This window comes from Homo sapiens, chromosome 9 (assembly GCF_000001405.40).
Source record: "Homo sapiens chromosome 9, GRCh38.p14 Primary Assembly".
Taxonomy (NCBI): Eukaryota; Metazoa; Chordata; class Mammalia; order Primates; family Hominidae; genus Homo; species Homo sapiens.
The window spans coordinates 104,105,162-104,128,555 of NC_000009.12; the positions used below are offsets into that span (position 1 = coordinate 104,105,162).

At 36.3% G+C, this 23,394-nt stretch overlaps 1 protein-coding gene across 22 annotated transcripts in view; it reads left to right on the forward strand.

Moving 5' to 3' along the window:
* Nucleotides 1-23,394, forward strand: part of SMC2 (structural maintenance of chromosomes 2) — a 53,157-nt gene that overhangs the window by 16,899 nt on the left and 12,864 nt on the right. For 21 of the 22 annotated variants that reach the window (XM_011518149.4, XM_047422644.1, NM_001042551.2 and 18 more), the window contains 11 exons: nt 6,420-6,653; nt 8,155-8,314; nt 8,803-8,920; nt 9,530-9,668; nt 11,039-11,158; nt 13,010-13,214; nt 14,866-15,001; nt 17,947-18,071; nt 19,751-19,944; nt 21,480-21,623; nt 22,125-22,319. In XM_011518149.4, coding sequence (XP_011516451.1) covers nt 6,420-6,653; nt 8,155-8,314; nt 8,803-8,920; nt 9,530-9,668; nt 11,039-11,158; nt 13,010-13,214; nt 14,866-15,001; nt 17,947-18,071; nt 19,751-19,944; nt 21,480-21,623; nt 22,125-22,319 — 1,770 coding nt within the window. Of the gene's footprint in view, nt 1-6,419; nt 6,654-8,154; nt 8,315-8,802; nt 8,921-9,529; nt 9,669-11,038; nt 11,159-13,009; nt 13,215-14,865; nt 15,002-17,058; nt 18,072-19,750; nt 19,945-21,479; nt 21,624-22,124; nt 22,320-23,394 lie in introns of those variants that run through there. The other variant, XM_024447383.2, reaches the window with a different exon arrangement.

The following is a 23,394-nucleotide window of genomic DNA, read 5'->3' on the forward strand; positions in this document are numbered from 1 at the left end:
CAAAGATTTTATAAAGCACTTAAACCCAGAGTCAGTAAAACCTCTTGGTACGTCCTGAGTAAGTCTGGTGTACAGCTTTAGGCTGCTGGCCCTATGGTGCATCTCATTTCTAGGAGTGATATGTAACGGCATCCCCCAGCATGCCCAACGTACAGGATCCCACCGTCTGCCCGCTTTCCAGGCCTGACATTGCCCATCTTCTGTTTGGGTCACTCCTACGCTGCCCATGGAAAATGATGTAGCCCTTGGATGCACATAGCACCCTTTCCCCCATTTTACTATTCAGTGACCCCATTCATGGGTAGGGAGGCATTGGCGTTTGCCAGCTAAATCTCGTTAGTGGTATAGTTACATAAGTTCAATTTCTCCCATGCAAAACTGTTCATGAAGCTCCTACACAGAAGGCTTGCAGCAGTTGATTCTCTTTCCTTCATCACCAATGGGACCTGCCCACTGAGGTTATGTTAGTTTTCATCATGATGTTTTGCCACAGTTAAGTTAAAATGGCATTTTTAGCACCCTTTTATGTGACAGATGCTATGTCCTCTCATGTAAGCCAGGGGTTGGGGTCTGTTGGTGTACACTGTGACATTAGGAATGCTAGGGTAGTTCACTACTAGCAGGACCAGATTGTCCCTGTGGGCTATGACAGAAATGTCCTGGATGTCATATCTAACATCTTATCATGTTACCCGCCATGGCCACAGCTTGGGAGGTGTTATGCTTCCAGGTCTTTGCTGCCACATCCTTGTGGAAAAAGTGTATTGACAGGTTAGTGCTCCCACCTAACACACTCCTGGGATCTCAGATGTTCCCAAGCTATCATAGGGATTGGGCTATGCATTGCAGTGCTGTGTTTCCTTTGTGCTAAAGTACAGTGTTTAGGTCCATAATGCCCTAGTCGGATGTTGGTACCACCTCACTAATAGGCCATCTTGATATCCTTCAGTGACTTTATGAGTAGGCTGTTTCATTGTTCAGTGGCTCCATTGGCCTGTGAATAACAGGGTGCATGGAAAGTCCACTATATTCCACAAGAGACTGCCCATTATCATGTTGCTTGGGCAGTGAAGGATGTTCCTTGGGCAGAGTGAAATATGATGAAGTATCAAAAAAAGACATATTTCTTTCAAGGGTAGCATCAGGGTCCACATGAGTGACATATATTTGTCCCTTTCAGGCAGCAAGTCCTTGTTTCCACATAGGGGATTTTTATTTATTTTATTTTATTTATTTATTTTTTTGAGACGGAGTTTCACTCTTGTTGCCCAGGCTGGAGTGCAGTGGCGCAATTTCGGCTCACTACAACTTGCACTCCACCCCCCGGGCTGAAGCGATTCTCCTGCCTCAGCCTCCCAAGTAGTTGGGATTACAGGCATGTACCACCACGCCTGGCTAATTTTGTATTTTTAGTAGAGATGGGGTTCCTCCACGTTTGTCAGTCTGGTCTCGAACTCCCGACCTCAGGTGATCCACCTGCCTTGGCCTCCCAAAGTGTTGGGATTACAGGCATGAACCACCGCGCCTGGTCCACATAGGGGATTTTTTTTAGCATTCGAGTCACTAAGTTGCCCTTCTCTTGACCAGATGACTAGGCTGTTGGCAATAGCCTATGAGTTGGTGAAATGTAGCAAGATATGGTGATGGGGTGGACCAAATGGACATCACCACTGCATGTAGTTTGACCCATTGAGCGTAATGCCCATGTTCAGCCTCAGTCAAAAGATGACCACTTACTGGCATGATGGTGGCTACAGTCAAGAGGATCCCTCCTGTTTTGTTTGATGGAACTTTCAGTAAACCCCGCCATACTATTAGTAGGCACATCTCAGAATCTTAGGACCCGGGGAGCCAGAGGAGAAGCCAAAGCATCCCCTGTGGTTTGTTTGGACCCTTCTAATAAGCTAGCCATTTTTTTCATGAAGCCTGCTGGTCCCTTGGGGTTCCAACTGGGCTTGATTTCAAATGTACCATTTCTGTTTGATAATCAAGCTCTTTTGAGCCTGCCCCAATTCATTGATAGGGTTTGTAAGCACCCAAGTAAGAGTGGGCAGTTTAAGTCACAGCGTCGCATGTAGTGCTCTGGCCTTAAGACACACGGTCTCTACCAGTGCACAATAGCAAGCAAGAAGTTACATTCCAAGAGTTATATCAGGTGGCTGCCTCAAGCAACTTAAAGTTCAACTTAGAAGAGGCTAGGTCTCCCCAGTGACAAGTTTCTGTTGCCATAGACTGCAGTCAGCATGCATGGAGGTTGTGGACACCTGTCATTGCATCAGGCTAACAGACTGTAAATGTTTTAAAAGCAGCACCAAGGCCACTACTTTAAATTGTTTTCTAAGGCCTGCTACTGCAAAGTCCGCTGTTCAAAGTTGGCAGCTTTGTTGGTCACCTGGATTAAAGGGGGCCAAAAAAAGACCCACATGGGTTATATGCTGTGTTTAGTACCCAAGAGACCTACCAGCTGTGGGGCTTCTTTTTCATTAGTAAGTGCCACCAGCACCAACAATTTTTGTTTGACTATATCTGGGATACTTCCTTGGCTTTCTGTCCAAGTGACCTTGACATTCAGCCTGTGACTATCCATTAGTCTTCATGCCCCAAAGGCCTTTCTGACTAGCCAGACTAGGCGAGTGCATTGTGACATTTTTATCTGTAGTGGGTTTTGAATTAAGAAAGTAGCGTCTTATTCTCCACTTGGTATGCAGTACTGCTTTCGCTGAGTAACTTAAGAGGTTTTGGGTAAGTCTTGAGTAACTTATGAGGTCTTAGGTGGCAGGCCGGGTTGGATATGCACCACTGGTATAGCTCAAATTCTTAGCTACGAGGGGCATACCTCCTCAGGTGGTGGTGATGTTCTGCACCACAAGCAACCAAACTATCAATATCCGTACTCAGTGGTGGGAACTGTGGTCACCAGCACCCAAAGTGACACAAAGTATCCTACTCACAGCAGATAAGCAATAAGCATAGTGAGTCATTACATTCACCTGAAACCCTCCCATGGTCATCAGTTTAACTTTTCCCTAGGAAAACTGGAAATATGTCCTGTGGGCTCCAGTATCCAAGAACTCCAGAAAAGCCTAATTTCATTTCTTTTTCTCATCTTGACAGGAGTATAGGGCCATCTCTGGTGGGGACCCGGAGACCTCGGTCCCACTCTAAACTATGCCATTTAGCCATTTGGATCCACAGTGTCCCTTTATCAAACAAACACTTCAGCCAGGCTGCATAAGCCTTTCCTGGACTTTCCATATACTCGTCCTCTAGATAGTGAGCCTCCTTTTCTATGAAGGTCTGCATTGTATGTGTTGGTTCTTTCAGATGCCTCAGGCACTGTCTGAGAACCTCTTTCCTGTTCCCTCTCGGGATCCATCTGACTACCCACTTCCCGAGCTCTCTGGCGCTGGGAATGAGCAATTACATGTGTCCAACAACCAGGAGATCATGATTCTGTCAGAGCAGACCCTACTAACTGCACTGATGGTGTGAAGCAAGTTCAGTATGCACTAGTTACCAACCTGTCAGTGTTAATAGAACTCACCCATACAGCACAAGTTATATGAAGCAAATTTATTTCCTACAGATAGGTAGTAATAGACAGTAAAATCCTAGGTTTCATGGTGGGCCATTCCCACAAGTGTTGGATGGAGTTTCATGTGTATGTTCCCCATACAGTTGAGGGACCCCAGAAAGCAGCTTGCCCTGGGTTTATACCCCAGAAATAGAGAAATGGGGGTGGTCAGCACATGATCCCCTGGTTTACGTGAGTTGCTGAGCTAAAGCATGAAAGGACATGCATATTTCTAGGAGGGAACTGAAATAGAGTATGGATTATTCAGGCCATTCCCTCTATCAGAATGTTGCATTTTCTAGCACATTCTACAGCTATTCTTCAACTGAGAAAGGGAGAACAAGGTTAGTCTAAGGACACCCAGATGACTGTCCAACAAACTCTAGATTTCTTTGTCCAGCTACTTAATTAACATTTTTATCTGGATGAGTTTTAAAAAGTGTAAAACTTAACATATCCGGAATAGAATTTAGCAATTTCCCTCAACTACCCAAACCCACCTGAGTTACTGAATTTTCCTCATGTCAGTGAATGGTACCACTATTTACCTAATTGTTGAGGCCAGAAATCTTAGAGTCCTCTGGATTCTCACCATTCTTTAAATATCTAGATCCAGTCTATCAACAAATTCTGTTAACTTTAAAAGCGTATTCAGAATACAGCCACTTTTTGTTACCTCCATTACTGCCAACCTCGTTCAAGCCATCACCTCTCATGAGGGCTACTGCGATAATGTTCTTATTAGTTGCGCTACTTTTTTCCTGTTGCCACTCTATAGTCTGTTCTTTACAGAAGCTAAAATATAAATTGAATCACATCACTTCTGTGCTTAAAATCCTTCAGTGGTTTCCGAATTACGCGTATGCTGTATGACGCTGAAACAACATGGTTTTGAACTGCATGGATTGACTTATTAGCAGATTTTTCTCAATAAATATATTGGAAAATTATTTGGAGGTTTGCAACAATTTGAAAAAATTTGCAGACAAATACCATATTGCCTAGAAATATCAAAAAAATTAAGAAGAAGTTAAGTTGTCATAAATGCACAAAATATATTTAGGTACTAGTCTATTTTATCATTTACTACCATAAAATATACAAAAATCTATTATAAAAAGTTAAAATTTATCAAAACATAAACACCATACTTGGCATTATTCATAGTTGAGAGAAATGTAAACAAATGTAAAGATGCAATATTAAATGATAACTGCATAAAACTATAGAACATACTACACTATTATAATAATTTTGTAGCCACCTCCTGTTGCTATTGTGGTGAGCTCAAGTAAACTCAGTGTGACATTAATCATTTACTTCTTAGTAGTTCACGTTTCCAGTAAGTTGCAGAGCTCAGTAGAAAGTGATCTCTTGTGGTTCTCGTGTATTTTTCATCACGTTTAATGCAGTACCATAAACCCGAATAACATGGGATCCATATGAAGTGCCACTAGTGATACTGAAAATGCTCCCAAAAAGCAGAGAAGTCAGGATGCTACAAAAAATAGTTGAGTGCTTGATAATGTACCATAGATTGAGGTCTGCAGCTGTGGTTGCCTGCCTTTCCAGACAGATGATTTATCTTGTAAACAGATAATATAAACTTATCGCATCAATAAATACACTACAGTACTGTAAATGTATTTTCTCTTATGCTTTTAATATCTTTTTTCTAGCTTTATTGCAAGAATACAGTATATAATGTAGCATACAAAATATGAGTTAATTGTGTTATGTTATTGGTAAGGCTTTGGTTAACAGTAGGCTATTAATAGTTAAGTTTTTGGGGGAATCAAAAGTATATGTGATTTTTGACTGTAGGGTGGGTCTGTACTCCAACTCCCATGTTTAAGGATCAACTAAATAATTGAATCTAAGTCTTTATTTACCATGGCCTGCAAGGTGCTTCATGATGTGACTCTTGGCTCCTTAGCCATTTACTCACTGTGCTCCTAGTCCGGTTCCTCAAACATTCAAACATGTTCCTCAGGGCTTTCAAGTATACTGCCCCACAAGTATTTGCGCAGTCACTCCTCTCACTTCATCCAGTCTTCTGTTCAAATGGCATTTCAAAGGCCTTCTGTTATTCTTCTTGAAGTAATTGTTCCTATCACTCTATTCCCCAACCTTGTTTTGTTTGATTACTATGTCTTCTAACCTTGAATATAGGCTCCCTTAGAACAGCGACTTAGTCTGTGTCTTTAATGTCTTAGAATAGGGCCTACTATATAGTAAGCACTTAATAAATATTTGATGAATCATGAACTAATCAAGTGGGCCAAAATTTGTTGTCACTTTAATTGTAAGTAAGATTGCTAGATTTTCTTTTTTCAGGTCTGGTATCTTGCATAGTGTCAGCTATCTGGTAGTATTACTTAAAAGGTGTTACATAATAGTAATACTTTTTCTGAAACTATTTAATGCTCAAATTTTATGGCTCTTGACAGTTTATAAAATATTTTCATATACATGCTCTTAATTCTAAAATCTCTACTTTTAAGCTAGTGTAGGATGTCTGTTATTTCAGTTTTACAGCTTTAGAAATTCATTTTTAGTCCCTTCAAGTGATTTGTTTAAATCTGCAATTATTATTTAGCCCAATGTCTCATGGATTTAATTTATAACATGGAATGAACCAGTAGTATAAGAGTTATATTTATTCTAAAAACTGAGAGTGAATTTCAAAATGATAATTCAGTATTTATAAAGTTATGATGGTTAAATTATTTTATTATGCTCACTCCAAATTGCTATGGAATTTTATTACATAAGGGTATGCGTATAAGAAAGTGGGTGTTTTTCCTGAAATATAATATTTTTCCATTTGAAACTCTTCCTAAAGGACTCAAAAACTTTAGCAGCAAAGGAAAAAGAGGTTAAAAAGATAACAGATGGACTGCATGCCCTTCAAGAAGCAAGTAATAAAGATGCTGAAGCTCTGGCAGCTGCACAGCAGCACTTCAATGCTGTTTCCGCTGGCCTGTCCAGTAATGAAGATGGAGCAGAAGCAACTCTTGCTGGTCAAATGATGGCCTGTAAAAATGATATAAGTAAAGCTCAGACAGAAGCCAAACAGGTAAATAGAGACATTAGCACTATGTGATTGCTTTTTTTTCCAAGAAGTTTCTTTTCATGTTATGCTTTGGCAATTGTTACATAATGTTGAAAATAATCAGTCTCAAGGAACTTGTTTGTTTACTTTATTCTGCAACTCTAATGCCTAATGCAGCGAAATTCAAATATGTTGATTGCTAAATATTGGTGATGTTAATTTGTGAAGATGCTGTACTACATAAATTATCTTAATTCGGTATGTAAGTGCAATAAATGCTTTGTTCTGTTTGCAGCATTGTGTGGAATTTTCGAGATTAATGCATTTATTCTTGTCTCTTTTTGGCTATTTTTATTTTTTATTGATAACATAATGTTGAAGTCTTAAGCTTTAACAGGAAAACAGGATTGTCCTCCCCATTGCTTTGCCTGCCATACCTAGTTCTTAAAACCTTGTTTCTCAAACTTTACATTTTTTTAGGAAGTATCTCTACCTCACATGTAGCCACATTCTAGTCTGCTCTCCCTACTCTGATTTCATAATCTTAAAAGTCTTGTCAGTCTATTATAATGTTTCTCAGATTTTACATAGTAGTGCAACTTACAGTCCTATGAACATAAGAATTTTGCTAGCAGAAAAAATACATGTACACAGGCACATCATTGTTTTGTTTTTAATGGAAGACACAGATTTTAAAACATGTACACAAATGTGTGTGATTATGCGTTAATCCTCAGGTTTTTCTCTTTATATATTTGCAACTTTTTCATTCAGGCATGACAGATGATAGTCACAAATTTATAAGAACTCTCAATAGTAGAAAAGCTTTAAAGTACTCTACTCTCAGTTTGTCTATTATTTTATAAGGGAACTGGGAAAAATACATCATTATACAGTTTTGGAGGATACCCCCATCTAAAACCCCATCTAGGTTTTAGAATACTAGTTCATAGTTTTAAGAAGCAGTGTTCAAGTGTATAAATTCTTGAAGGCCTGACACATGTAATTTAAATAGTTCTAGCATTTAATTATCAGACTCAGCATTTAAGTTTCTCTGTCAGTTTAGCTTCTTTTCCTGTATAATCTTACGTCTTATTGCTCAATTCAGTTTCTTTACTGTTATTAGATAGCACTCACAAATATATACACATACAAATATGAACAACTAAGCGGAAAGGAAAAGAACGAGAGTTGTGATTTCTAGCGTTCTTTTTTTAATTACCAGCTACTGACAGTTATTCGATATAATCCTTCAATTTGAATATGTCATATTTTATTAAAAATACGGACTTAAATTTCAAATTCTTTTACATATTAATCATATATTAGTTTATACTTTGAGTAGTTTTTTGAGGAGAAAATACTGGGAAATGACTAATTTGTTGAAATACTAATCCAAGAGACCAAACAATTAAACTTTGAAGGTTAAGGTCTCTTAGTAAAACCAATCTGAATCTTCGGCCATTTAATTACTAGCACTGTCTGCCTCATACATCCTATGGTCTGTTGCATTTTTCTGCCACAGGCTCAGATGAAGTTGAAGCATGCTCAACAGGAATTAAAGAATAAACAAGCTGAAGTTAAGAAGATGGATAGTGGCTACAGGAAGGATCAAGAAGCTCTAGAAGCTGTAAAAAGACTTAAAGAAAAACTTGAAGCTGAAATGAAAAAGCTAAATTATGAAGGTTTGCCTTTAAAAACATGATAATCAGATCATGAGGAGGTAGTGATTTTTGATAAAAAGCTAATTTAAATAAAGAACGCAAGCAAGTAGGAAACATTTCTTAGCCTATTAACAAGCATTAGTATAAGAAGTGTTGTAAATATCGTCAAAAAATACCTAATTATAAAACAACTCTTGAATTTTTGAGAACTCAGTATTGAGAATTTCCTGCTTCAATCATTTGAAAGCTCAAAAATGTCATTTGTGTATTTCTACATTAGGCATTCAGTTTGTATGTTATTTTTTGGAATGAAAATTGTGTTATTTGCCGTTGGAAATAATGTCTGTTTGACAGTGGATAGAAATAGGAAGGTTCAGCATGCTTTTTTAATACTTACAGAAATTTGTATTTTTTGCATGCTTTGGAAATAGTGGTTGCTAATATTTTCCTTAAAACAGTAGAGTGAGCTTTTAAAACTTGGTTTTAATTTATTATGATTTATCCTTCAGAAAATAAAGAGGAAAGCCTTTTGGAAAAGCGCAGGCAGCTGTCTCGTGATATTGGTAGATTGAAAGAAACATATGAAGCTCTATTAGCCAGATTTCCCAATCTTCGATTTGCATACAAGTAAGAGACTTAAGCCTTGAATTTTAACATAGTAATAATCAAGACATTTTTATTTAAGCTGGAAGCAGTGTGAAAATTTTGTCGAAACCAAGATTTTTGTATGAAACTTGTTGTAAGCTGCTTTTCTTTCATTGGTATTTTTCCTTTAAACATTTGTTGAAATGTTTTAAATGTTGGCAGGGAAATTCTTGTGAAATTTAATGGCTAATGATGCCACTAATCTTAAAATGAGGGAAATTTAATCTCAGTTCAAAATGTCTTCAGAGTTACTGTATCATTAATGTTAAATATCCACATTTACATCTTATAATTTGTTTTGCTATGTGGGTTTTTTATGGAATATTTACAGTAATCATATGTATTATAGGGATTAGAACATCAGAGTTGTTCTTACTACATTGAAACATACTGAAAGATCTATTGTGATTTAAAAACAACAGCTGGCTAGTCATTTGGGACATTTTAAAATTTTTGGTTTGTTAAAACCATTTTGCTGATTCTACTTTCATTTCACTTTAATGTGTTGTCCAAAAGAGCTCCTGATGAGTAAAGTATAACTTTTTCTACTTTATTATCTAAGATTAATTTTTGTCAACTTTTGTATTTCAGGGATCCAGAGAAGAACTGGAATAGAAATTGTGTGAAAGGACTTGTGGCTTCTCTGATTAGTGTGAAAGACACTTCTGCAACCACAGCTTTAGAATTAGTGGCTGGAGAACGACTCTACAATGTTGTAGTAGACACAGAAGTAAGTTGATTTTAATTTTAAAAAATTTAAAATTTGGTTAGCTTGAAAAGTCATGTGCTGCTAAAAGAATTAAATACTTTGATGTTTTAAGGCTCTCCCCTAAGGTGACTTATTTATAGGGTAAAACTATTTGGTTCATAACTTTTTGATAACTATTCCAAAGGAGGTCTCATGCTTACTCAGAAACTCAGAATGCATATTACCAATCTTAAACTTTTGGGATCTCTTTGCTGTATAAGTTGAATTTAATTTGTAAAATAATCTGGGAATAAATGACCTGTTTTTGATGTCAGTCTTCCCATCAAGGTAACATTGAATTTATTTACATTTCTTCAGTTCTCACTTATTATCCTTCTGTAGAATGCTCATATTCTTTCCTGTAAATGCTACGTAGTCATTGTCAAATTTACTTCCTTGTTTTTTTTTTAATTTATTTTATATATATATTTAAAATGTACAAGAAGCCTGGGTATGGTGGCTCACACCTGTAATCCCAGCACTTTGGGAGGCTGAGGTGGGCAGATCATTTGAGCCCAGGAGCTCGAGACCAGCCTCAGCAACGTGGCAAAACCCCATCTCTACTGAAAATACAAAAGTTACCCAGGCGTAGTGGCGTGCGCCTGGAGTCCTAGCGACTCTGGAGGCTGAGGCACAAGAATTGCTTGAACTTGGGAAGTGGAGGTTGCGGTAAGCTGCGGTAAGCTGAGATTGCACCACTGCGCTCCTGCCTGGGCAACAGAGGAAGACTGTATCTCAAAAAAAAAAAGAAAAAAACAAACGTACAAGATGTTTTGATACATATACATAGTGAAATGATTATTGTAGTCAGACATATTAACATAGCCATTCACCTTCCATAGTTACCTTTTTTGTGTGTGACAGCACCTAAAATTTACTCTTAGCAAATTTTCAGTATATAGTATTAATTATAGTCCTCATGCTATACATTACATCTCTGAATAGGTAGATTTATTTATCCTACCCAACTGCAAATATGTACCCTTTGACCTATGACCTACTTCTACCCATTTTCTTTCACTCCTCATCCCTGATAACCACTATCCTACTCTTTTTATTTGTTCAGCTTTTTTTTTTAAAAGATTCCATGTACAAGTGAGGTCATACAGTTTTTTATTTTTTCTTCGTCTGATTATGTCACTTAGCATCATGTCCTCTGGGTTTATTCATGTTGTCCCAAATGGCAGCATCTCCTTTTTCAAGTTCAAATGATGTTCCATTGCATATGTAATTATAACTTGATTGGGATAAATGGCACTAAACATTCATTTATTATAGACTACTAAACTTGCATTCTCTCAATTTTCTGTCATTTTTAACATGCGTTTTTTAAATTCAAATGTGTGTTGTAGGTTACTGGTAAAAAGCTACTAGAAAGGGGGGAACTGAAACGTCGATACACTATAATTCCACTCAATAAAATTTCAGCCAGATGTATTGCACCAGAAACTCTGAGAGTTGCTCAGAATCTTGTAAGTCTCATTTTGTCTTATTTATATGTTTAATCGTCATCTGTGGTTTTTTTAAGTTAGAAGACATTAATTTTGAGGGACATAATCATATGCAGAACCACAAAATTAAAATACAAAAAAATTGGGTTGGCTTGTGCAATTAGATGATAAGAGAATAGAGATGTTGGAAGACTTGAACTCCTTTTGATGCTTCACTTTGTGGTATTAGAATGTCCTTTTTAACCTTAAGTCACATGACTATCAATCAGGTGATGGTGAAAATTACACTCTTGATTCCTGAATGGTTAGAACTGAGCTTCTAGATACGTACCCCAAATTCTTCAAGTTTTTGTTTTTGTTTCTTTTTATGTCAGGCATACTAAAACTGCCCACAGTCACAGCCATTATGGAAGGCCTTCATTAGTATTGCAGTGATGCTTCTTTATTAGAGTTCTTCTAGATTGCTATTCAGCCTGTGCAGGTACATAGCAGGTGACCAGGATCCCATTCAACTGCTGACGTTGATCTAAAGTGACATGCTTGCTAGTAAGAAAATAGATTAGTACAAGGAAATACATTTAAAAGTTATTGTAGTTGTGTAATACTGTAAAAACATGAAGTCAGTCATAACATTCAGCTGTAATATCAGTTTTTTTATTGATCAGACATTCCAAGTACATCAGTTGAAAAGACATTTCTATGAAACTTAAAAATATACTTGTAACTAAGTGGATGTTGTTGTATCCTTAGTTACATTCAGAAGATTTCAATGCAAATGATTTCAAAATACAGTTGTGTTGATATGTATACTATCAGGAGAGGGAGGATGAGTGCTGAGTAATTGAAAGGTGATGTTTTTGGTTGGTACTTTCTTTACTTGAAAACTCACCATTAAGTCAAGAAGGCTCAGGAAGTTAATTCAGCCATACATCGAGTCCCAGCATTAGAAGGAAATTGGGATTTCAAGTAACAGCAAAAATACTTTGCCTCAAATCCTTTAGCCAAACCTATTTGATGGTAGCTGCCACATCAAAGAACAATACTGAACATGTGTTACATAGAGCTTCCTTCATTGTGACTGCCACTGCTGATACTAAGCTCTAAAAGAGATGCTTAGTTTTTCTTAAATGATGGGCAGAGGTAGCCTCTATAAACAAAGGCTGAGAAGAAGCATTGTGATCAAAATAGAGGACTGGGGATTTTTTAAATTACTTTTACTCTCAGTTATTGTGTTTTCATTTCTGTAACTGGCAGACGACTGCTCTAGCATGTTTCATTTGTATGAGAAAATATTTGTTGTGAAATCAAATTCCTGATTATTGAAACAACATTTTCATATAGTTGTGTTGATCTGGAAATTATAGGTTAAGCACTCCAAGTCCAACAACTGAAATTTTCCAAAATTCAAAACTATGACACCCAAAAAATGCTCATTGGAGTATTTTGGATTTAGAAAGTTCAACCACTGTAATACAAATATACCAAAATCTGAAAACAAACACTTCTGTTCTAAGCATTTAGGATAAAGGATACTCAATCTGTACTATAATTAAAGTTGTGTCCAGTCAACGTTGGTGAAGGACACTTAGAAACATGGTAATGGCTCCTTATTGATAGAAACTTTCATAATGCTCCATACTAGCTATTAATAAATATTTTACTTAGCAATAAATCTTTCAGTATTTAAACCTGCAGTTTTTTTTTCCTGAAACTTTGAGTTTTACATAGCTTTTTAGAAAATTCAGAAAGAGTTTTAATGCTAGGTAAGTATTATTTAAGTTTCTATTACAGCAGTTTTTACTGGTTTATAAAATCATATCTGAAAGGAAAAGTAGTAGTATGTACTGTGGCATATCTGTTGTTGTCCCACAGGTTGGCCCTGACAACGTTCATGTGGCTCTTTCCTTGGTTGAATATAAACCAGAACTTCAGAAAGCAATGGAGTTTGTCTTTGGAACAACATTTGTTTGTGACAATATGGATAATGCCAAAAAAGTGGCCTTTGATAAGAGGATAATGACTAGAACTGTAACTCTCGGAGGTGATGTGTTTGATCCTCATGGGACATTGAGTGGAGGTAAGTTTTATATCCTTTTCTCCTCACAATTCTTTGTGGTAAATAGGAAGATGCCTTTTTTAAGTACATTTTTAGCCCAACTACCCACTTCTTCAGGAAACATGTTAACTTCTCATTTGTGTGTTTGCCAGTGCCACCTACCTCCTGTCAAAAGTAAAACAAAAAATTAAACCTGCCCTTGAAATGGTACCTTAATGCCTTAAAGGAATTCTTAGACAGTGATCATATTCTTCTTGGTCTAGTATTTGCCACACTGAGTTTGCAGATCTTTGTCAAGACAATAGAATAACAAACACTGAATAATATTTACTGTATACCAGACAGTGTTCTACACTATGCTGTCCAATACAGTAGCCACTAGCCATATGTGACTTTTTACATTTAATTAAGTTAAAAGTAATTTCCTTGGTTGCATTAGTCACATTTCAAGAGCCCATAATCACAAATGGTTAATGGATAATTCGACAATGCAGATATAGAACATGTCTATCATTCTATAAAGCCCTATTCTATGGGCTTTAAATAAGAATTAGTTCTTAATAACAACGATGAGGTAGGCATATTATTATGATCTCTAATATACAGTTGCAGAAATGAAGATACAGAGTGCTTAAATAACGCACTACAGGGTGGCAGAGCTTAGAATCTGAATCCCAGCAGTCTGATTTCATAGTTTGTGTTTTTAACCCAGTAGACGGCATAAAGCCACTTGAGGTATCAAGTGACTTAATGTTGCTCTCGGCCACGAAAACATTAGCCGGTTCAGTGAATTCCATGACTAGGTATCAGATTCTCCAGTACACAATCAAATGACTAGTATCTGCAAATGGAAGATAAAAAGAGACTGTGTTTTTAAATGTCTACAAGAGAAGAAACTTTTTAGATTTTGTTGATTCAGATGCTTTTGAAGTTTTTACTTATAGGATATGAAATAAGTAACCCCGTATTTTAATTACAAAGTGTTTAAAAGCATTTTTAATTGACCTTAGCATTCTTCCATCAAACCTGTGGAGTTTCTTTGTCAACATAATACCTCAACCTGTGACTGCCAGATAGTTATAGTTGCATAATGTGAAATCGGCTTATTCTGCTTGCCGTGCTGTATCAGAACTTAGGTCAGCCCCGAAATCTTAGCTTACAACAAATTTATTCCATGTTTATGCTACATCTGCTGCAGATCAGTTGCCTTTCTGCTCAGTGCTATTCTCATTCTGGGACTCAGTGTGAAGGAGTAGTCGTCTCTGTCTTGAACATATTTTTCCCATGGCAAACGGAAAGCAAATGGTGTACTGCCTCCTAAAGCAAATTATGTACTGCCTCCTAAAGTTTACTTTCAGAAGAGACACATTTCCCCATTTCATTGGCCAGAGCAAATCACGTAGGCAAGTCCAGTGTCAGACGATGGAAGATGGGCCCAGTAGACAAGGCAGTGGTTATTTTGAATAAATAATACCTACTACAACCTCTTGGATCTGTTATGAGTTCTCTGTGTTCTAAGGTTCAGGTGATGGAATGAATTCCATGGCTTCATAAGCTCATTAAAATATTTACTATTGAATCAATTTGAGTATAATTCTCTTAGAAGACTTTTTATTGTGTAGTACATACCTGGTAACAATGTGGAAGACCTGTTTCAATTTGCCTCTATCAGGTGCTCGATCCCAGGCAGCTTCCATTTTAACCAAGTTTCAAGAACTCAAAGATGTTCAGGATGAACTGAGAATCAAAGAGAATGAGCTGCGGGCTCTAGAAGAGGAATTAGCAGGTCTTAAAAACACTGCTGAAAAGTAAGAACTGCATATACTTTTTTTAATTAAAGATTTGCATAGTAGAAAATGATAGAAAATTTACTTTTATTTCAAGAAATACAGCTTCTGACTTTTCTCATATTTTTGGTTTTATTTAAAATGTTTGATTAAATTGTGAGTTGATAACTTACCATTTATCCATTTTTTTCTCATAAGAGAGATGTCTTTGTTAAGAAATTAGCAAAATCTATTTAAGCAAAACAAAACAAAAAAATCATTCAAATATTCCATTCTCTCTGCTGAGAAATAAACTAGCACTTGGCTAGGGTTGCTGGGGAAACCCTTCGACACTCTGGCGTCTGATACCAGAGGATACTTGATTTCTTGATTTGACATGAATATGATACAGTATAGCATTGATCAGGTGCCCACAGTAAGTTTAATAGCATTGTGGCTGTCCTACATATATCAAGGATCTGCTAGGTTGCCTAGTGAGCAGGTAAACAAGTTCATGTCGAATATCAGCACTAAAATTTCAGTGTTTCCTTACAGTATTTCTTCTGTGTAGGTATGGATAAGATATGTATATACTTTCCAACATCACTTCTATTTTTGTATAATAGAGGTATATGTGAATTTTTATTTTTTCAATATTGGGATCATGCTAATGTAACCTTTTTTTGTCAGTCAGTAAACATTTATTGAGTGCCTCCTGTGTGCCACATACTCTTCTAGGGGCTGGGGATCAGATAAATATCCCTGCCTTCATCTAGTTTTTTCTTGTTGGAGAAGCGGATGATAAAGAAAGATAAATTGGTAAAACATGTTACTAGTTCTAAGAAGAACAAAGTAAATCAGGAAAGGAGATAGGAGCTATCTAGGGCAAAGACATGTTAAAATTTTATATTGGGTGGCCAAGAAAAGCCTCACTGAGGACATGATTGTTGAGTAAACACACGAAAGAGTGAGTGAACAAGAGTGAGTGAACTGGCTCTGTGGTTATCTGGGAGAATAGTCCCCACTTGAATTGAAAGCTTCATAAGTTAAAAGAGCTACAAACTTAACAAAGTGCATTGTTTGAAAGTTTGGCCAGGCCTAGTGGTGCACACCTGTAATCGCAGCACTTTGGGAGGCTGAGGCGGGTGGATCGCTTGAGCTCAGGAGTTCAAGACCAGCTTGGGCAACATGGAGAAACCCTGTGTCTGTAAAAAAACACAAAAAAGTTAGTCAGGCGTGGTGGCATGTGCCTGTGGTCTCAGCTACTCAGGAGGCTGAGGTGGGTGGATTGTTGGAGCCCTGCAGTTCGAGGTTGCGGTGAGCTGAGATTGTGCCACTGCACTCTCTCCTTGGGGACAGAGTGAGACCCTTTCTCAAAAAAAAAGAATTTTTTTTTTAAAGTTCAATTGTTATTTTTTCCAGTATCTCTGAAGATGACAAATAGGGACTGATTTAAAAAGATTTTATTCAGAATTCACAATACTGAATACAATTTAAAAAATCTAAATAAATGTTGAAATGATTATTTTTGGGTATGTTTTTAGCATTCAATTTCTGTAGTTATGAAAGCTTAAAATGGCACCAAGACTTTTGAGGACACTAAATATGAGCAAGATTTTCATAGTCAGGATGGCCATTCAGAGATATAAATTGAATCAGAATTTGTCTTTTTCTTTTTTTTTGAGACGGAGTCTCACTCGTCCAGGCTGGAGTGCAGTGGCCCGATCTCGGCTCACTGCAACCTCTGCCTCAGCCTCCCAAGTAGCTGGGATTACAGGCACTTGCCACCACACCCGGCTAATTTTTGTATTTTTAGTAGAGATGGAGTTTCACCACGTTGGCCAGGTTGGTCTCGAACTCCTGGCCTCAAGTGTTCTATCCTTTTTACTTTCAAACATCACATACATGTAAAGGCCTGCATTTTACCTTCATGAATATAAATTAACCATAGAGTAAATGAATTTTTTTCTGTGAGAAGAGTAGAACAGAATTTTTCTGTGATATGTGGAAGCTCTAACAAGGTGATGAGTTTGTAGTTAGTTACATTTGGCTTAGAACTGTTAATTTTGTTCAGTAGTATTGGATCATTTATTCTGCAGAATTGAATTCTTTGCTATTTGTGACACTGAGGTCAAGGAAGGAAAATAGATTTTGAAAAAAATGAGAATGGTGGAAGAATCAGCTAAAGCCATTGTTTCACACCATATCAGGAAAGTAACATCTTTTAAACAAATATTTCTACATTCCACATTTTTAAATTAATTTGAAGTTAAAATTATTGTTTTAAGTACTGTCAAGTATATCTTCAGGCAAGAATACTCAAGGTAGTATTTATATTTTATAAGTTTTGTTTTTTTTTTTTCCTCAGACCTCATGATTTCTAGTGACAAGGTACTTTGTGAATTTGTATTAACTTGAAATTTCACTGCAACTGAATTAGCTAAATACCTTTCAAAAGAAATGACTAAGCAGCCAGAACAGGGATAGAATTACAAAGTTTTCAAGAAAGTGCATTTTAAACAACTAAGTTCAAAACTATTTTTCTTACACTAAAAGTAGGGAACATTATTATTATTTTTAACATTTGAAAATGAGGTTAATAAATAGATAACTACATTTTTGAAATTTTATGTAATTGTTATAATTAATCATTTTTCGTGGTGAGTAGTTGGTTTGATTTTTTTTTCTTTTTAGTTAGCAAGAGGGATTATTTTTAAGGAAACCTAGCTGTTAAATATTTCTAATGTAAATAGTTGTTACAGATTTTAGTCATTTAGAGTTGTTCACCTTCAATGACCAGATCTAAATTTGAATTAATTGGTGCCTCAGAAACTTGAAAGCCGTCAAAATTATTCCTGTAACCAGTAGCATCTTATATTGTTTATAACGTATGTGAGTTTATTTAAGGTAAGAATCTGAAGTTTGAATGTATTTCTCAAATACCAGAAAAATGACAGTCATTTCTTACATGTTTCTGTTTTTGTAAGGTATCGCCAACTAAAACAGCAGTGGGAGATGAAAACTGAAGAGGCAGATTTATTACAAACCAAGCTCCAGCAAAGCTCATATCACAAGCAACAAGAAGAATTAGATGCCCTTAAAAAAACCATTGGTAAGATGAAAACAGTCCATGCTTAATCTCTGGTTTTATTCATATCCGTTACCTTACTTTAGGTATCTTCTCTACCTGTGCTATGTTTAAGATATATATGATAAAGTTTATTTAGGGAAAATCCAAGTATGGGATTTCTAGGTCTTAGGGTATGGTCATTTTCATCTTTATTGTATATCGTCAAAGGTCTGTTCGTTTTTACCAATACTCATTTCCACCAGCAGCATATGAACATTTCTCCAAGTTCTTTTTTCTCCAGACTTTTAAAATTTTCCAAATCTGTTGGTTGTGAAAAGATAGCATGCATTAGCATTTAATTTGCATTTCCCTAATTGCTGATGAAATTTGGGATCTTTTTTTGTATGTTCATTGGACCTTTGGGTTTATACTTGTGTGAATTTTCTGTTTATTTCTTTTGCCCATGGGTTGCTCATGGTTTTTTTCCCACTGTTCTCATGCTTAAGAGTCCTAATTTCCTGTAGGTTATGTGCATTGCAAATATCCTTTTACCATCTTTTTTGGCTATGTACTGGTCTTTTAATTTTGTGTTCATAGTATTTTTGTTTTACAAAAGTTTTTAATATTTAGTGTAATTCACTTTATAGCCATTTCCCTAATTTTAAGATAGCTTATATGTTTTCCTTAGAATTTAATTGTATATGGTAGTTTAAATTTTTGTCATTCATTAGGACAATATCCACACATGTGCTTCTCCACTAATATTTTAATAGTATTTTCTGCAGTGAAAAGTAGTGTAAGAAATTGTGCGGTAATGACTTCCAAGGTTATGTTTGCACCTGGGTCCTAACACTCACAATATACATCAGTTGTTACAGCAACACGTGTTCATTCAGTATTGCCCTTTTATTTATTTTTTTGAGACGGAGTCTCTCTCTGTCCCCAGGCTGGAGTGCAGTGGCGCAATCTCAGCTCACTGCAACCTCCACCTCCTGGGTTCAGGTGCCTTCCTCAGCCTCCCGAGTAGCTGGGACTACAGGCGTGCATCACCACACCCAGCTAATTTTTGTATTTTTAGTAGAGATGAGGTTTTATCATGTTGGTCAGGATGGTCTTGATCTCTTGACCTCATGATCTGCCTGCCTTGGCTTCCCAAAGTGCTGGGATTACACAGGCATGAACTACCACGCCTGACCTTATTTTTTTCTTTCACAGATTTGGGGATGTTTTTCCTTTGCTGTATCCCAGGCATACTGTCATATTATTTGTCGACTTTAATGAGAAGTTCCCTGAATATGTATAAAATAGGCAAAGAACATAAAGTAAGCTTGTTTATGAAATTACACACTTTCTAGCAACTATAGAAAAAATACCATAGTTATACTGTTCTGGTTTTAGGAAGCATACAATTGCATTAAAAATATGATCTGTGATTTTTTTTTTTTTAATAGGTTGCTTCAATACCTTTGTAAAAGGATAGTTGTAGGTAAAGTTCAATTTCATAGCAAAAGAAATTATTTTGTTACAGATCTTTAGATAATTCAAGTATGGCTTTTGGGTAGGATCTGTGTTTCATTATACCATTTCTAGAATATCATTGGGATAGTTAATTTTCTTAAATTGTACCCTGTAATTTTCCAAACCATTTCTTCTATTAAAAGTTGAATTTGTCAACCTTTACCATTGTTAACTTAGCCACATTTGCTTACTTTGTGATGCAGAGGAAAGTGAGGAGACTTTGAAAAACACTAAAGAAATCCAAAGAAAAGCAGAAGAAAAATATGAAGTATTGGAAAATAAAATGAAAAATGCAGAAGCTGAAAGAGAGCGAGAACTGAAAGATGCTCAGAAAAAACTGGATTGTGCCAAAACAAAGGCAGATGCATCTAGCAAGAAGATGAAAGAAAAACAACAGGTAATAACTTCTTTTTGAAATTGAACCAACCTTTTAAAGTCAACATAGAGCTGAAGGTGGTAGAGCATCATTGGTTGACCTTATTCATCAGAATTGATCTCAGAATCTAAAAGGGAGCAGTGTTCTTTGGAAACAAATTATGCTTCTTACAAGTCAAAGGAGTATCCAGGATGAGCATCTCAAATCCAAAATACAAATTAGAAACTTTTTGAGTGTTGATCTGAGGCTCAAAGGAAATGTTCATTGGAGCAGATTGGATTTGGGATACTCAGTTACTCTGTATAATGCAAATATTCCAAAATCCAAAAAAAAAATCTGAAGTCTGGAAGACTTCTGGTCCTACACACTTTGGATAAGGGATATTTAATCTGTATTTTTCTCTGAAAACCCTGCAATCGAGTGTTTCATAGTTGTGAGTAGGGGATGCTAATTTTAAGGAAAGGGCAAAGTTGACGGTTGGTAAATGCTTCCTTCAAGAGTGGATGGCCTTTCTTCAGGAGTGGATTATTTGATATTCTGGATGTCATATCAGAGATTCAGCAAGTTGACATTTTTATTTGATAAGCACCTAAATGAATGTGCACTGTGAGAGCATAATGGAAGACAAAGCATGTTATATTTACAAGGTGTCATTCAGTTGTAAACTGATGATACTTTGTTATATCTTTTAGCTAATGCCAAAGCTGGAATCTGAACCTAGGTTTTTGTCTCCAAAGGCTACGTTGTTAATCACTTTTATGCGATTTCACCTAAATATATTTCCCTCGCATTTTTTTTTAGCCCACTCTAAGATTCTTGTCATTAAATAGCTGTAAAAAGTATTTTCTAATGCAGGGGTCCCCAACCCCCCAGGCCACAGACCAGTAACAGAGGAGGTGTGTGACAGGCAAATGAGGATTACTGCCTGAGTTCCACCTTGTGTCAGATCAGCTGTGGCATTAGATTCTCAGAGGAGTGCAGACCCTTTTCTGAACTGTGCATGCAAGGGATCTAGGTTGCATATTCCTTATGAGAATCTAATGCGTGATGATCTGAGATGGGGTGGTTTTATCCTGAAACCATACTCTCTCCCTGTGCCCGCCATATGGAAAAATCATCTTCCACAAATCTGGTCCTCGGTGCCAAAAAGGTTGGGGACTGCTCTTCTAATGAACTGAAGGCTATAGTGGGAAAGAAGAATATTGAGAAACTTTTTACACATTGAACAATTTTGTTTTTAAAAAAGCTTTACTTCCAGTAATTCATCTGTTACGTAGAATGTTATATTATTTTCCCTATAGGAATAAAGGATAAAGAAAATAATTTATGCAGAGTTCTTTGAACCTATAAAAATTACACATACTTTTTTTTTTGATATAGGAAAATAAACTTCCTTTTCTGGGGAAGCAGCTTAACCTGTACTTTCGGTAGCTGAGTGGTAACAAAGCTGTGGGTCTTACTTGCATGAGATTATTATTTATTTAATTGTTCTGTACATATTTGTTTTTCAGTAGTTAATAACCTATATGAATACCTGAATACTGTATTTTTTATAGGAAGTTGAAGCTATCACTCTGGAACTGGAAGAGCTCAAGAGAGAGCATACATCTTACAAACAACAGCTTGAAGCTGTAAATGAAGCTATCAAATCCTATGAAAGTCAGATTGAAGTAATGGCAGCTGAGGTGGCTAAAAATAAGGTAGGATTTATTTATCAAATTCGAGAAATTGAAAATGCGAATCTTTTTATGAAACATTAGCTTAAGATGTTTGACTTTAGTGTTCTCAGTCTTTTCACTCGTCATCATGAGAGAATGAGGCACAAATAGCTTTTACTCATCCAGAATTGCCAGTTTTGGGATCACATAGGTCAGTCAGCTTCTAGCAGTCCCTCTTCTTCCTCACTTAGTTGATTCCATCTACATTACATCTAACAAAAAACGCTCTCATTTGCAGCATGAGCGTGCAGCATGAGCATTGTACCTCCCACCCCTTTTACCAGGGATGATCCAAGTTTTCTTCTGTGTATAAATTGATTAGTCCTTTTAATGGTGATATAAAATATAGAGGGTTAGGTGATCATCTCTCTGCCTGTAATCACATTGCCCTCTTGCCCAGGGATCTGTCAGATAATTGTTTAGTAAATTAAAATTATTTACATGTTACCTCACCACATATTTTCTTTAATTTTTTTGTTTTAGGAGTCAGTAAATAAAGCTCAAGAAGAGGTGACCAAGCAAAAAGAGGTGATAACAGCCCAAGACACTGTAATTAAAGCTAAATATGCAGAAGTGGCAAAACACAAGGAGCAAAACAATGATTCTCAGCTTAAAATTAAGGAATTAGACCACAACATCAGCAAACATAAACGGGAGGCTGAAGATGGTGCTGCAAAGGTATACGTTTGTGTGCATTTTTTATACTAAATCAAATTTTTGTTACTGAGCTCTTGAAAAAATTTAGAAAACTGCTTGATAGAGAACTCTATAAATATAAATGGCAAAATTACAGCCTGGCATAAATTTGAGCTTGCAGCTTTAACTGCTTTTCAACAATGCTAATTTTCAACAAATTGCACAAATGTTTTATTTTTAGATTTAACTTTAGATATTTTTTCCCATCTACAGGATGTATTTACCAAATGTTTAGTGGTCTCCCATGGAAATAACTTTTCACCTCCAAATGTTGATAGAACTAATTACTGATGTGCTAGTAATAATGATATATATTCTCTACCTTATTTCAAATTGAATTAAAAAACTCACAGAACTATATATACAGGTAATCTAAAAAAAGGACTGAATTGGCTTCCACATGTCTTTATGAGTGTTACTGCTGTCAGTATTTGCAACTTTATAAAAAATCTGATGTTTTGCCAAGCAGCTATGTTTTTGAGGTTATCCCAGTTTCTTTCTTTCATGTGTCACAGCACCTTTACTTCAGTGCTTTAAAGATAACACGTGCTTTTGCAGAAATTCATTGCTTGGTTAAGAAGCTGCATTCACATGGTATTAATAATTCATCTAGCATGTTTTCTTATGAGTGTGTAACAGTTTGGCACCTTTTTAATGTCCAGGATATTTTTTTTTAGCATCCTAAAAATACATGAACTTTAACTTCAGAAAGATCAAGAACATACAAAACAATCTCCCTCTCTTCTGAAAGAACTGTGGAACTTGATTTAAACAACATTTTTCATGGCTACATTATAATCTACCACTTTATTACTATTGATTTCCCATTAGCTTAGTGATAGTGGACTGACTGAAATACTACCAATGGCAATGTTACTGCTAATAGTTTTTTGGTAATTGAAAATGCTAGTACTGGCGATTGCTAGGAGATTTTATTTACAAGAGTAAAAGGAGGGACTTGCAAGTGGGTCTGCTAAGAAGTCAATCAAAGATTTATACATACCTACCAGTATCAGATACTGTGCCAGGCACTGACAATGTAAGGATGAGCAACACA